The sequence below is a fragment of the Homo sapiens genome, chromosome 2 (genome assembly GCF_000001405.40).
Source record: "Homo sapiens chromosome 2, GRCh38.p14 Primary Assembly".
Taxonomy (NCBI): Eukaryota; Metazoa; Chordata; class Mammalia; order Primates; family Hominidae; genus Homo; species Homo sapiens.
In genome coordinates, this window is record NC_000002.12 from 127,610,160 (window position 1) to 127,625,920 (window position 15,761).

The 15,761-nt window shown below is 53.3% G+C and overlaps 1 protein-coding gene across 13 annotated transcripts in view, besides 1 other annotated feature; it reads left to right on the top strand.

The window, feature by feature from the left end:
* Positions 1-15,761, top strand: part of MYO7B (myosin VIIB) — a 102,044-nt gene that overhangs the window by 74,477 nt on the left and 11,806 nt on the right. For 6 of the 13 annotated variants that reach the window (XR_001738748.2, XM_047444435.1, XM_017004169.2 and 3 more), the window contains 7 exons: positions 2,091-2,168; positions 2,317-2,444; positions 10,181-10,307; positions 11,823-11,942; positions 13,043-13,216; positions 13,934-14,161; positions 15,209-15,342. Coding sequence is in view for 12 of the 13 variants with exons in the window: in XM_047444435.1 (XP_047300391.1) it covers positions 2,091-2,168; positions 2,317-2,444; positions 10,181-10,307; positions 11,823-11,942; positions 13,043-13,216; positions 13,934-14,161; positions 15,209-15,342 (989 nt within the window). In the remaining variant the exon portion in view is untranslated. Of the gene's footprint in view, positions 1-2,090; positions 2,169-2,316; positions 2,445-9,845; positions 10,094-10,180; positions 10,308-11,822; positions 11,943-13,042; positions 13,217-13,933; positions 14,162-15,208; positions 15,377-15,761 lie in introns of those variants that run through there. The other 7 variants (XM_047444437.1, XM_011511218.3, NM_001393586.1 and 4 more) reach the window with 5 other exon arrangements.
* Positions 10,040-10,089: an enhancer, noted in NCBI's record as "active region_16497". NCBI's record gives its function as "activates an Ori minimal core promoter by ATAC-STARR-seq in GM12878 lymphoblastoid cells {active_cell/tissue: GM12878}" and the evidence as "EXISTENCE:reporter gene assay evidence [ECO:0000049][PMID:35858748]".

A 15,761-nucleotide genomic window follows, 5' to 3' on the forward strand; every position in this document is an offset into this window, starting at 1 on the left:
GCCATGGTGCAGGCACTTTCAGTATTGAACCATGTTCAGGAGCTCATGAATCCCCATCCCGGGCTTTTTGAATTATACAGTCATTAACGGAGAGGGTGCCCTGGACTCTGAGTATTGGGTGTGACTTGAGCCAGATTCAGATGCACATAACAATAACAATAACAGGTGTTACTGACTGACAGCCTGCTCTGTGCCAGCTGCTACTCTTAATTCAATTCCCAGGTGGGCCAACCCTACAAGGTAGGGATGACTATATTTATTTATAGCTAAAGAAATGAAGAGCTGAAATGACCTGCCCCCAGTTGCAGTGGACATGTGTATGGGACCTGGGCTTTGAATCCATTCTGCTGAATTCAAAAACTGAGCTCCTGACCCATGTTCTACCTTGCCCTCTAATGAAAGTTAATTCACATCCATTTTTGGTCAGAAGTCCTTCCTAAGGTCCATTTCCATGCTGTAATGTTAGTGGAACTAACCAAGAACAGTCCAAATGAATTACATGCAGTGACAGCACTCAGTGGCCCGCCAGTGGCAGGAGCCCATGACTGCCCCATGTGCCAGGTAACCAGCTGGGACTTAGCTCAATACCTGTGGGGTCCTGTGTGCAGACTAACTGCATAGGAATCTAAAGGAGCCTGCAGCCCCATCACATGGCCAACCTTGTCCAGGAATTACAGAGAAGTTGCCCAGGCCCAAGCCCTGACTCCTTGATCTCTAGAGGTATGGGCTCTGCCAGAGTGTGTCAGATATCTGTAGCTGTGTAACAAATTACCCCCCCCAAACCTAACTGCTTCAAATAGCACACATTCATTATCTCACACAGTTTCTGAGGGTCAGGAGCAGCTTAGCTGCATAGTCCCAGTTCAGGGTCCCTCATGAGGTTGCTGTCAAGCTGTCCCCTGGGGATGGTGTCATCTGAAAGCTTGACAGCTGGAGGGGCTGCTCCTAAGAGGGCTCACTCACATGGCTGTTGGTGGGAGGCCTCAGTTCCTTGTCATGTGGGCCTTTCCACAAAGCTGCCTGGGCATCCTCACAACATGGCTTCCCTCAACATGAGTGATCCAAGAAGAAAAGCAAGAAGGAAAGTGCAAATGTCCAGTCTTGGAAGTCACATACCTGTGGCTGTGGGAGGGGCCCACACAGGGCAGGAATTTCAGGACGCAGGGATCACGGGGGCCATGTTGGAGGCTGGCAGCCACTCAGGGAAAAGACTCTGGGAGGCAGTCCAGCCAACCAGCACCTCTGAAGGGTGGACATGGGGGGAAGCAGGACTGGCTTCCCAGAGGTCAGATCTCAGGTTTTCTGTCCTGCATGTGTTTATTAAATATCCATGACGTGCCCCAGACACAGAGCAGTGAGCCCAGCAAGCCTCACTGCCCTCACGGACTTTGCCAGCTCATGTGTTTCATGGCCAGCCCCTGCACGGTAAACCAGCTTTGACGCACCCAGGAGCTGGTGCCTGGCCCTGGACCAGGCTGACCCCCACCCAAGCTCAGTCCCACACTGAGCTCCAATTTTGGCAGCAAATTCTTCTCATGACGCCATCATGAGAAGGGGCGGCCTCTGCCTAAGGAGAGCAACAGATCGTAGTGGCTGCAGCCAGTCCCTCCCTCCTACCTGGCCTCTCAACCCCGGCTCTTCGGATCCCCTGCAGAGCACCTTGCAGTGGCAGAGCATCCTGCTTCATCTGCTATCTTTACTGAGAATGACCATGGCCTGGGGCTGTCCTAAGCACCTGGGCTCAGACCCAGTCCCACCTCCCAGGGGTTTACTGGGGAGAGGCACAAGCTTTGGGATCAGAACAGCCCTGAGCCCCTCCCTGGGGGCTGGTGACCCACTGAGCAGCTTTTGTCTAGTCTCTTGCCTTCCCTGAGCCTCTGATTCCACACCTGGAAGTGAGGATGGGACACGCACCTGTATGTGTGTGTGGTAAAGCTCTACCAAGCTGAGGGACTGCATGGTGCTTTATAAATCGGGCCAGGAAATGGCTGGGTGAAAGGGACACGTGCTCCACCCCAGGAGGCTGTGGGGTCAGCATCACTGAGGTGAGCCCAGGCTCACCTTCCTGCGGGAACTGTCTCCCTCCACAGAGATCTGGCTGCAAGGACAAGGGGACCAAGGATATCTCCTCCATGAAGCTGAAGCGGTCCTCCCGGATCACAGGCCAGGTGAGCCCAGAGCACAGAATCTCTGCTCCCAGCTGCTGCTGGCCTGCTACAGGGTTCCAGTCTATTGCTTCCCTCCCTGTGCACCAGTTTCCTACTTGGCAGATGGGGAGAATCATAGCTGTCCTGATGGCTGCCTTTGGGTTTCAAGGTGGCCAGCCAGCTGAACATTGGAGAGGAGGCATTGGAGCCTGATGGCCTTGGTGCAGACCGGCCCATGTCCAACCTGGAGAAGGTGCACTTCATCGTGGGCTACGCCATCCTGCGGCCCAGCCTCAGGTCAGTTCCCACTCCCATCCCGGCCCCATTCAGAGCATCAGATGCCCTCACTGGCTCTCAGCCCATGGCCACAGCCTCCCCCACCACCCCTATGACACCTCCTTGTCCTGCGGCCTGCAGGCTGGGTCTCAGGACAGCAGATGTCATAGCTACCGAGGGTTCTCTATGTGCTCTGCCTTTTAAAAAAGCCATGAGTAAAACCCGGTTTTAGGAAAAGAGTCATCATGGACCAGTGATTCCTTTTAGAACAGGCTGTAGTGCAGGGCCCTGTAAATGAATGGCTTCCTCATTTATATTATACATTTTGTGCTTTATATACAATTTGCTTTATAGGAATGGGTTTCTATACCAATTAGAAGAAACACGTATAGTCAGCCTGCAAACACTGCAGTTCCCATCCGTGTTGGCTGAATGCGTAGAAGCAGAATCCGAACATGCAGAGACTGATTGTTCACTGCTTTAAGGGACTGACTACTGTGTTTTAGGGGTTCACTTACTTTAGGTTAATACTTTTAACAAAATTTGGGAAACTGTTGGTCATTATTTCTTCACATATTTTTCTACCCCATTCTGTCTCTCTCCTTTCCTTCAAAATCTAATTAAGCCTCTGTAAGATTCTTTTATATTGTTCTTCAGGTACCTAGGGGTCTGCTTATCTTTTCTTTCTTTTTTCTCTGTGTTCTTTAGATTGGATAGTTTCTATTGACCTGTCTTCAAATTTACTGATCTTTTGTCTTCCCTAGTCTGCTGTCATATCCATCCAACAAATGTTTTATTTCAGATATTGTATTTTTCAGTTCTAGAATTTGTATTTGTGTCTTTTTTATATTTCTGTGCCAAGATTTCCTATTTGTTCATTCACTATGAGCATTGTTTCCTTTATATCCTTGAGCAGATTTACAGTAGTTTTTAAATCTTTTCTGCAAATCCAATACCTGGGTCATCTCACGGTCAGTCTCTATTAACTGTCTTTTCTCTTGAGGATGGTGGTGTGTTTGTTTGCTCATATATCTGGTACTTGACTGTTTTTTCCTCATAAGTCTAGTACTTTTGGGTTGTATCCTGGACATTGAGGATGATACGTTAGAGACTCTGGATTCTGTTATACTCTTTCAAAGAGCATTGATTTTTTGTTTTAGGAGGCAACTACCTTGGCTGGACTCAAACTCTGTCTCCTCCATGATGAGCAGAAGCTAGAATCCCTTTTTAGTTATTTTAGCCTTGGCTAGAGTACCTGGAGTCTGCCCCACCATGTGTGTCAGGGGGCAACCAGAGATTTGGGAAGATTTTATGTGCAAAATTTAGGACTCCTCTGATTGTCTTTATTCCAAGATTTCCCTTCTCACTTTCAAGCTACTGTGGGTACCCTAAACTCTCTCCTCTGGTTCTTCAAGCCAGTAAGACTACAGGGCTTCTCAAGTTTTAGCTGCCTGCATGACACTAGCTGGGCAAGTCTTCTGACTTAGCTGGTTCTAATTCTCTCATGGTTAATCCTCACTGGCCACCACACCACACCCTCCAATATGGCAGACACATAAAAGCTATATTCGAATGATGTGTACTTTGGGTTCTTCAGACACCCCCTATAGGCACTCCCATACAGTGCTGGTGTCCAGCAGTGATACTGTCCAACACTGATCCCTTGAGACTTCCTACTGACTCTAGGCTGAAGTGGAACATCCCACAGCCTCTTACTGCTGGGGTCTTCTAGAAAATGGGCTGCCTGCTTGTGTGGGATCCCATCTAGATGCCTGAAGCTCAGCTCCTTCCACGACATCTTTTGGTCAGCAGGAAGCTCATGCCTGCCCAACCATACAGTACATGTACAGCTCCCATCTCCTGTCCTCTCTCCTCCTTGCCCATCAGGATGGGCTCAGAATTCTCCAGGAACAAGCAGGCGCTAATGTCTTTGTTCATGGAGGTCCCTAACTCCAGAGTACAAAAGTCAAGCACTAGCAAGAACTCAATCAACAGGCTCTATTCTAGTACCCTGGGAGGTGGCAAATGGGCTTCTGGAGCTCAGCAGGCATCAGATGGGGAGTGACATGGGTCTCTTCTCTGGCAGCCCCCAGTTCTCCTGGGGTCCCCTTCACCAACCTCATCACTTACAGGGAGTGGAAATGGGCCACAGATCTCTCTATCCCCATGAAGTCCCTTCCAGGAATCACATTCCAAATTTCTTATCTTCCCTTATGCAGGCTGGAGGTGGCTTGGTGGCTGCACTAGTTCTGCCACCTTTTAGTAAATCCTACAAGAATGTGTCTCTTTAGAACGTCGGATATGAGCATCCATTTGTCCTTGGCTGCAGGGCCTTGGTGAAATTCCCAGACAAAGCAGATGCCCTGTTCCACATCTGTCACACATTCCACACACACTTGCTCATTACCCACTCTGGGTCAGGCCCCAGCCTGAGGGCCAGGGACAGAGATGAAGAAGACATGGCTCTGTCCTGGAGGAGCTCACCCTTTAGCTGGGGGGCACGAGAGGACCAGGAAATTCACAATGCCAGTGAATTTCCTGGTCCTAAGATGGACCAGTGCTAAGATGGAGGTCTGTTCAGGGCCCCACAGGTGCACCAAGGAGGAGTGGCCTTAGTGCCTACCTGGGCCAAGGAAGGAGGAGGGGTGTTTGCCAGACAGAGGGAAAGGGTAGACGGGTCACCCGTGACAGACTGCCATGGTTACTACTTGAGACCATTGCTACGATAGTTACTACTGTCACTACTTGAGACCATCGTTATGAGACAGAACAAAGGGGGATGAACGTAGAAATGAAAACTGAAGACAAAAGAAACTTTTAAAGGAAGGGGTCAGGGGAAGAAGAAAAGGGCTCCCTACTCCTAGTGAGCAAAGACAGCCCCCGCCCTGAGCTTCTTCAGCCCTTAGTATTTATTGGGTAGAATGAGCAGGGAGGAGGAGGTAACGATTGGTCAGCTGCTTAATTGATCACAGGTTCATAGTATTACTAACAGGCTTCAGGTGTGCCCTGTAGATAATCACAAGAAACACTTGTGCCTGGGTCGTGACTGCCCTCAGCATTCCTTCTGGGCGGTAGACGCGGTTTGTCAGTTGGCCAACATTCTGCTTTTATGAGAACAGTTTGCTGTTTGCTCATATAGCCTCCAGTGGTATACTAGATCACGACTCTCACTCTTTCGGCCTGCAACATCTCTCCCTTTTTGTTTTGAATTAATTGAGAAAGGCAATTGCAGGCTGTGCAGCCCTTAATTGCCAGTTGGTGGTTTGTTCCGTCTTCGCATTCAGCTGGTACTGGGGGAACCAGGCCCGTGGTTGGGATCCACAGGTCCCTCCAGTCTCCCGTTGCATGGTCGCACACAACTTGAGGGCACCTACATGGTTTGTTCATTTCCTGTGAAAACACAAGCATACCCTCGTTCCCACAATAGTAAATCTCCTGAAACAGAAGCAAAGGCTTTTGTGGCTGCAGCCGGGAGGCATGCCGTTGCTGAAGCATCCGCTCCACAAGCTGCAACTCAGCTTCTGCCTCTTTGGTTAATTACCGCGGGGTAAAACTCCACTGATAGCAAGAGGCAGGCTCTTTCTGATTAACAGAAGGCACAGAGAAAACAAATCAAGAGTTTATCCTTCTCCTGCAATAACAATAAAAAAAAATCCTCAAGCTCTATTACCATGAGAGATCGTATCCATAAGCCCACAAAATCTACTTTCTTCAATTTACACTGCACAAGTGGATCTACTAGATGCTATGGGTTGTGATAGATAAATCTGTCTCCTAGTTGTACTTCCAAATCCCTGACCTCCTCGCTTCTTCTTACGTAGAGAAGGGTACAATTTACAGGGAATAAGCAACAGTTGAGCAACTTATTCTCCCGGTTCAAAAACCCAAAGGCCTTGTGATATCACCACCACCTGAATTTCTCCTTCACAATCCGAATCAACAACTCCTGGGGTTACAATAATGCCCTGTAAATTAAGACAGCTTTTACCTAAAATTAATCCCACATATCCTGTTGGCAAAGGTCCCCAGATACCGGTGGGAATCTTAGTGAGTTTGTCTCCTCCAGTTAACGTAACGCACTCCGACTGGGAGATCCAATCCTGCATTTCCAGGCATTCCTGGAGAGAGGGAATTAATGTGCCTCCGGAGACCCACCCCTGAAGCAGAGCTGTGGCCTGGATGGGGAATGCCCTCATTGTTTGAGGTGCCCAGGTCCAGGCCCCCTTCTCATTTCCCGACAGGGGGGTGCCATTTTGATGAAATTTTGAGTGGCACTGATGAGCCCAATGATTTCCTTTATTGCAATGAGGGCAAAGTCTTGGTGTTTTTCTGTTGGGAGGGGAACCGTGTTATAAGATCCCTTTTGCCCAGAGGTCTGGCGGTGTTCTTTTTTGAAATGTCCAATTTTCCTACATTTATAACATTTTCCCACTTTAGGGCTTAACCCTTGGCTTCTTTTAGATCTGTCAGTTACCAAATTAGCCATTGCCTGAGTCAACATTGCAGAGCAATGAAGCTCAGTTCCCACATCTTGACAAGCTCTGAGAAAACCTCCCAAGTCCTCTGCACATCTCACAGGTACCAGCGCACGTTTACAAGCCACGAAAGACAAAGCTAAAGTTCGCCTTTCTGTAGCTGCAAAAGAAGACGGTACAAGCCAATTTTCATCCTTCCTCTCCCGTTCACCACTTTCGATAGGTGCTGTAGGTGGGGCAAAAAATTCTCTCAAACCCTGAAATGACAAGAAAATGGTATGTACCAAACTCCAAACAAAAAAGAGAAGAGAACCAAATTCTTCCCCATGTTACCCTGATTGAAAAACTTCCCGTTCTTTGTACCTCTAGGACACTGACCAGTACCTTTTTAAAGCACTGACCTTATGCTGCCAGCAGACTTGTAACGGGGTTTTTTTTTTTTTTTTTTTTTTTTTTGAGACGGAGTCTCGCTCTGTCGCCCAGGCCAGACTGCGGACTGCAGTGGCGCCATCTCGGCTCACTGCAAGCTCCGCTTCCCAGGTTCACGCCATTCTCCTGCCTCAGCCTCCCGAGTAGCTGGGACTACAGGCGCCCGCCACCGCGCCCGGCTAATTTTTTGTATTTTTAGTAGAGACGGGGTTTCACCTTGTTAGCCAGGATGGTCTCGATCTCCTGACCTCATGATCCACCCGCCTCGGCCTCCCAAAGTGCTGGGATTACAGGCGTGAGCCACCGCGCCCGGCCTTGTAACGGGGTTTCTTATTCATCTGGTTGGTTTTAGTTTTTTCTGGGCTTTAGTTTTTTTTTTTTTTGCTCCAGCAGACCTTCCTCGCTCAAGTCCTTATAGGACCCTATTGTCCCTATCTGTTCCTGTCTGTCCCTGCAAGTTTCTCCTAGTCTTTGCTAGTCCTTGCTAGTCTTTGTCTATCCCTATCTGTCCCTATAGTCCCTGTTAGTTCCCGCAAGTCCCTGTCTTTCCCTAGCTCTCTCTATTTGTCTCTATTTCTATTTATCCCTACTTATCTCTATTTGTCCCTGCAGGCCTCTTCAGGTCCCTTCAGGTCTGTTTGTCCCTGATTGTCCCTGTTACGTCCCTGTCCAGGCAGCACTTGCAGCAATTTGCCACTGTTACTACTTGAGATCGTCATTACGGGAGTTACTACTGTCACTACTTGAGACCGTCATTACGAGACGGAACGAAGGGGGATGAACGTAGAAATGAAAACTTAAAACAAAAGAAACTGTTTTAAAGGGGCCAGGGGAAGAAAAAGGGCTCCCTACTCCTAGTAAGCAAAGACAGCCCCCACCCCAAGCTTCTTCAGCCCTTAGTATTTATTGGGTAGAATAAGCAGGGAGGAGGAGGTAACGATTGGTCAGCTGCTTAACTGATCACAGGTTCATATTATTACTAACAGGCTTCAGGTGTGCCCTGTAGATAATCACAAGAAACACTTGTGCCTGGGTCGTGACTGCCCTCAGCATTCCTTCTGGGCGGCAGACGCAGTTTGTCAGTTTGCCAACATTCTGCTTTTATGAGAACAGTTTGCTGTTTGCTCATATAGCCTCCAGTGGTATACTGAGCTGATCACGACCCTCACTCTTTCGGCCTGCATCAGTCACCCTTGAGACAGCCCACAGGGTCTGGAATTTATGAGTGGTTTGCCATTGTTGGGGCATGGAGCTTGGATTCCATCCTAAGGGAAGTGGGGAAAGTTTTAAGCAAGAGAGGATCTTGATCATATTTGACTTCCAGAAAGACCTCCCTGGCGATGTGGCAGGATGGAGCCTGGGGCTGGGAGGCCAGGCAGGGCTGCTACAGAGATCCAGAGAGAGCTGATGAGGAATTGCCCAAGGAACAGGAGCCAAGAGGAGGGGACAGAGGAAACATGCAGGAGACAGATGGTAGCATGTGGGCACTGGTTGGATCGTGGGGGCTGGTTGGATTGTGGTGGCTGGTTGGGTTGTGGGGGCTGGCTGAATGGTGGGCGCTGGTTGGATTGTGGGGGCTGGTTGGGTTGTGGGGGCTGGTTGGGTTGTGGGGGCTGGTTGGATGGTAGAGGCTGGTTGGATTGTGGTGGCCAGCTGGATTGTGGGGGCCGGTTGGGTTGTGGTGGCTGGTTGGGTTGTGGTGGCCAGCTGGATGGTGGTGGCTGGCTGGGTGGTGGGGGGTGGTTGGGTTGTGGGGGCTGGTTGGGTTGTGGCCAGTTGGATGGTGGTGGCTGGCTGGGTGGTGGGGGGTGGTTGGGTTGTGGGGGCTGGTTGGGTTGTGGGGGCTGGATGGTGGGGGCCGGCTGGGTGGTGGGCGCCAGCTGAGTAGTGGGTGCCGGCTGGGTGGTGGGGGCTGGATGGATGGTGGGGGCTGGTTGGATTGGAGGAATGAAGGGATGGGAGGGCTCCAGGATGACCCCCAGATTTCCAGTTTGGGTGAATGGCTGATGGCGATGCCTGTAGACCACAGAAAGAGGAGGGATGCAGGAACTCAGAGAGCCAGCCATGCACATTGCTTCCCATCTCTGTTCGGTGATGTCGTGTCGCAGTTGACATTGGCTTTGGTGGGAACATGTACACCACAGAAATAAGCAAATGCTGTGAATTGGGCTTTTCTTCTTGGGGGAGCTGGTTGATAAACATTTACCAGCACACCACTGAGTATTAGGGGAAAGATGCTGGCCTCTGGAGATGTGGCATTTGAGGTGTTAATGGGCCACTTTTATAACATGATAGAGGCTTGAGTCCATGGGGAAGGACGCAGGAGAGAACCGCCCCCAACACACCCCCACCAGGAGTGGGGAGGCTCCACAGACCGTGGGAGTAGGAATGGTCAGGAGATGGGGTTGAGTGGCTCCCATGAAGTCCTCACTTTTCTCTCTGCTGTGGAGGGGAGGGGCTGCATTCAGGGAGGGAGGTGGGGCCTCAAGGCAGAGAGAGAAATGACTGTAATCACCGTGAGACTGGGGATCCCGCACATCTGGGAGCAGATGGGCTGTGCAAAGGGCGCGGCTGCTGAGGACAGGGCTGTGGCTGGAGAACCTGCTGCTTCCTGAAGCCGAGCCCCACCCTAAAGGACCGAGAGCACAGGCCATGGGAGAGGAATCGAGTAGGGATGCAGAGCCTGGTGGCACTGTCCTGAGAGAGGAGGAGGCTGGGCAGGGCCCCGGCGCTGGAGAGGTGCCCTGCATATGGGACCTCTCAGAGGTGCACAAGAGCTGTGTGCCCAGGTACCCCTGTCTCCTCTCCTCCTCCAGCCCCCAGCCTACTCTCCTAATGGTCTGTGTCTTTCAGGGATGAGATTTACTGCCAGATCTGCAAGCAGCTCTCGGAGAACTTCAAAACAAGCAGCCTGGCCCGGGGCTGGATCCTGCTCAGCCTCTGCCTCGGCTGCTTCCCACCCTCAGAGAGGTTCATGAAGGTGAGAGGGTTCATGAAGGGAGGGCGGGCAGGGGGCAGGTTCTGGTGGGAGCGTAGGTGGCCCCTGGCCCTGGAGCAGGTCCACAGATTCCAGTACGTGGCCCATTTCTCCTGCTCCTGCAGGCCAGATGGGCAGCCATGCCTATGCTTCTCCAGGACTCAGTTTCCCCATCTGGAAAAGAGGACCCTGCTCCTGGCTCCTTCCAGCCCCTACGCAGGGTCTGCAGGGCCATTTCACTTTGGCTCAGGTGTCAGGATGGTGCTTCAAGACTAAAATGAGAAGGTAGATGACACGGGCCTTGAAAAGACAGGTGTCCAGGAGTGGGCCCTGCCTGGAGATGTGCCACGGCACCTCTTTCTAGTTCTTAGGACTGAAAATGGAGCTGGGTTGGCCGAGTGTTAGTGGCCCCAAGCTTCACTGATTTAATATGCCTTTAAATTCTGATTATAAAAGTAATATGTGGAAATGCAGAACATCTAAAACCAAAATAAAAGTCACCCCCACACTCAGAGCTAACTTCCGTTAATATTTCCTTCTGGCCTTTTGTGGTGTTACAGGGTCCTTGTGATCAAACAGAAAACACTTTCTCACATGTCCCTTTGGGGACAGCAGGAACCACGGTCACTGAAGCCATCTGCGCATGGCACTCAGGCTGCTCCTGACACCAGTAAACCCTTCCAGGCTGTTCCTCCCCACCCCAAGGCAGAAGAAATAACATCTCTCTGTGAGACAAAAAGAACTTCAATGTGTTTTCTTGAGCATGTTGGGGACATGGACTCTTCTGCAATTTTTTTTTTTGTTTTTTTTTTTTTTTTGAGACGGAGTCTCACTCTGTCGCCCAGGCCAGAGTGCAGTGGAGCGATCTTGGTTCACTGCATCCTCTGCCTCCCGGGTTCAAGCAATTCTGCCTCAGCCTCTCGAGTAGCTGGCATTACAGGTGTGCATCACCACACCAGGCTAATTTTTGTATTTTTAGTAGAAATGGGGTTTCACCATGTTGGCCAGGCTGGCCTCAAACTCCTGACCTCAGGTGATCCTCCGACCTTGGCCTCCCAAAGTGCTGGGATTATAGGTGTGAGCCACCATGCCTGGCCCTGCACTTTTCATTTACTGTCTTCATTATGTTTTCTCATGGTGTCAACCTCCCAAATGCCAGCTTGATGCCTCGCTGTTCCAGAAGGCACTGGGGTTGGGGGTGGGCATTTAGAGTCCATCTTCCAGTCATTCATCACCATAGAGGCCATCACAATCAAAAACCACACATCCACCTTTAGGATAGGCCTGCATTGTTGTGACAAAGAGTGTGCACACATCAAGACTATGCACCGTTTAAAACGTGTTGCCAAACTGCTCCTCAGAAACACACTGATCCATGTTCCTTCTAACGGGTGTGAGGGTGCCCCTCAATGCACATTATACACTGAGTATTATAATTCTTAAGTCCACCTGGGTGGTGAGTAGAAACTGGCCTCCTTTCTGAGTGTCTTCCTCCCTTCTCCCCTCCTCACCCACCAGTATCTACTGAACTTCATCGGCCAAGGGCCGGCGACCTACGGCCCCTTCTGTGCCGAGCGCCTGAGACGCACCTATGCCAATGGGGTGCGTGCGGAGCCCCCCACCTGGCTGGAGCTGCAGGTAGGGGCTGGCAGGGGTGAGAGCGGGCAGGGTGGGGTGGTGCAGACCCCCAGGGACCCCCAGCACAGCTCATGGGGTGCCTTCTCCTAGGACAGAACTTTGTCCTCTGAGCCCCGCCATCTCCTCTGCAGTACCTCCCATGCCAGTGGTCCCTGTGAGTGCCCCTGGGGCTCGGCCTCCCCAGGCGTGACCCCCATCTCCAAATCCATATTCCTTTAGGGCCCTACTAGCTAAGGGGAAGATCACCGGACCCACTCATTAGCATTACAGTGCGCCAGTTGCTTCCAGCACTCCCCTCCAAGGGCATTTCACTTGGTGACAAGGGCAGTAGTCACACCATGGTTGGCATCCTTGGTGGCATTGCTATTGGGCACATGTGCCACCTCGACCTGCTTTGGCAACTGTGTCATCTGTGAATTCTCGCTGTTTTCTCAGGAAGGGTCATTCAGAACAGCCAGCCAGGGTGGCGAGAGCACACCTGCACCCGGCTCTACACAAAGCTCTGGCCCCAGCCTAACCCCGGCAGGTGCCCGCCCTGTGACCCGAGGTGCCCTATACCAGGAGCTGTGGGTCACTTCCGCTGCACCTTCTTTCTGTTCTCACCCTGCCCCCGAGCCCACAGGGGCTCCCTCCCACGAGCCCTGGAATTGTAGGTGAACTTGCAGTAGCTGTGCATGTTGACACAAGGGAACAATACGTAAAGGCCCCAAAATGTTCCCGAGTCCTGGACTCAGATTCCCAAGAGCTCCTGGTCTTCTGTGAGGTGAAGTCACTGAACCACACCAAGCTCAGGATTCTCATAAAAGCAGCCACTATGGCCTCAGGCTGCCCCCACTGGAGGTCCAGGAGGACCTGGACGCCTGTGGCTAACATTGCTCTTGCCTGGTTGCTGTGCTTCCAGCGGCAAACACCTGTTGGCCTGAATTTTGTTTTCTATGCCAAGCCCATGGCCTGGGGCTTCAGAGGGCCCACCCCTGGGAACCCACGGGATGGCAAGCAGGGCCCATGGGCTGGGGAGAGGAGGGAGGTAGTGGATGGGGGGTTGGCCTCCTGTCCATAGGTTCCAAGAGGCCAGGGAACTGAATCTCATCTGTCCCCAGGCTGTCAAGTCCAAGAAGCACATCCCCATCCAAGTCATCTTGGCCACTGGAGAGAGCCTAACCGTCCCCGTGGACTCAGCCTCCACATCTCGGGAAATGTGCATGCACATCGCTCACAAGCAGGGCCTCAGCGACCACCTGGGCTTCTCCCTCCAGGTCGCCGTGTACGACAAGGTACCAGCCAGGCACCCTGCCCGTCAGCCGCCTCCCTCATACACCCAGGGAGAGCACCCTGAGGCTCAAGCCCTCTCACCTTTCCAGCCCGGCCACCACCTACCCTCCCAGCTGCCAGGCACAGCACTGCTTACCCTCCCAGCCACCAGGCACAGGCAGGTGCACACACACAGAGCAAACAGCCTTTCCTCCCGCACTCATATGGTCACCTTGCAGCTGCGCCTCAGCCCCAGCAGTGCCGCATGCACACCTGGTCCCCCACCCAGCAGCCACGCACAGACATCAGGCACTCACACCAGTCTCCTGCTCCAAACTCCCTCATGCCCAGGAGCTGTGGACACCCCTGCAGCAAACATGGAGGGTCACACCAGCACAGACCCTCACCGCCCACATAGGCACCCCCAATTCCACGCCCACACCCTCAGACTCACACACCAGTCATCCAACCGAGGCGCCGGATGAGTCACATCGGCCAGACTCATGTCTGCCTCCTTAGGGAAGGGGCTGCAGGGAGAGTAATGGGGAGTGGCAGATGGGCCATTGCTGTGTGGAGAAGCCCTTCAGGTGTCCACACGGGCTCAGCAGTGTCCACTCAGCCCACGCTGGGCTCCAAGGGCCCCAGGCCCTGTCTTCTACGTGCACACGCTGACGGTGGGCGTCCCCGTGGGGTGGGGCATGCAACAGCCGCTAACCCCTGCTCCCCGACTCTGGCCTCAGTTCTGGTCCCTGGGCAGCGGGCGCGACCACATGATGGATGCCATCGCCCGGTGTGAGCAGATGGCCCAGGAGAGGGGCGAGAGCCAGCGCCAGTCACCCTGGCGCATCTACTTCCGGAAGGAATTCTTCACCCCCTGGCACGACTCCCGGGAGGACCCTGTCAGCACCGAGCTTATTTACCGCCAAGTCCTCCGAGGAGTCTGGTCTGGCGAGTACAGCTTCGAGAAGGTGAGGGGCCTGAGAGCCAGGTCCACCCTAGGCTTTGCCATCAGGAAACATCCCATAGAGGAGGCACCCAACTGGCTTCTGAGGCCAGGTAGAAGGTGGGGGGGCAGGAAAGGGGGTCACAAGGGTGTAGGTCCCTTCCAGGCCCAGCCTCTGTTTCCTCCTCCCTTAGGCCACAGGTATGTCCAAGCCTCCGGGGTCCGTGGTTCTGGCAGCAGGTCCCAGAGGGCCCAGGCCTTGCCTGGCCTCACCTCTCCTGCTCTGTTTATGGGGCAGTGAGATCTGGTGGCCAAGAACATGGCCTTGGAGCCCTAACACCTAAGTCTGAATCCCACCTCCCCATCTTCTTGGCATTGTGACCTTGGAAAGTCCTGTCACCGCAGAGCCCTGGGCCCTCATCTGACTGGGGGGCTCGGGAGGGGCTCTCACCTGGACCGTGCGGAGTGTACCGGGAGCTCTTTTGTAGGGGATTGTGAGAAAGCAGAGTGATCGTACCCCTGAAGTTCTGGGGGCAGCAGGCACAACCCTCCCTGTGCCAAGTCAGGCAGATGCTGTTCCGGGACCCATTGGAGGCGGCCATAGCAGTGCAGGAAGCCCGCCTGGAAGAGGCATGGGCAGGGGGTGGCAGGGGACCAGGCTCCAAGAGGCTTTGGTCTTCCAGAGGGAAGGGGCTCCTTGGGTGCTGCCCAGCTGGGCCCCAGCAGAAACTCCGCAAGGGGGGCTACTGGTCTCCCTTGACAACCAAGGACTGGAACTCAGATGAGGAAACGCCTTGTCACTCAGAGCAACCCTGCTGGGTCCACCCCAGAACTGGAGAGCAGCCGTTGTCCTCAGGCAGAGGGCCTGTGAGGCTCTGGCCAAGGCCTCTGGGATTCCCAGCCTGCATGGTGGCCCAGTCAGGGCATGCAGGGAGGGGGAAGGTCCTGCCCGAGCCACAGGTTAGCTCCCCTGTGATGGGGCAAGAGCCCGGCCACGGGACAGGGGCATCCTGGGGAAGGGGGGAGCTCTCACTTGTCTCACTCGCCCCCGTGGGTGCCCTGGGCTGTGCAGGAGGAAGAGCTGGTTGAGCTGCTGGCCCGGCACTGCTACGTGCAGCTCGGCGCCTCAGCAGAGAGCAAGGCTGTCCAGGAGCTGCTGCCCAGCTGCATCCCCCACAAGCTGTACAGGACCAAGCCCCCAGACAGGTGGGCGAGCCTCGTCACTGCCGCCTGCGCCAAGGTCAGCCTGCATGCAGCTCAGGCACCCACCCGAGGGCTCTCCTTTGGGAGGTGGGGGGGCTCATGGTATACAGAGGAGATGGATTCCCTCCCCACAACCCCCACCCCCTGGGGAACAACAAGCCTCAGCTTGACAGTTAAGTAGAGCCCTGTCCCTTCAGGTTTAAGCAGTCCCACTCAGTTCAGCTCTCTGTCACAGGCCCATGCCACCTTCTTCCTTCCAAGCTGGCATCTTGGATGGGTCCCTGTGCTGGTCTGCACTGTGGTGTCTGGCCAGGCCCTCGCTTCTTGGGATGAGAGGGCACCTGCAGTGGCTGACTGCTGACCATACCATGGCCTTGGGGGCCCCCCTGCCTGCCTCTGGGCCTCAGCATCCCCTCGCTGGG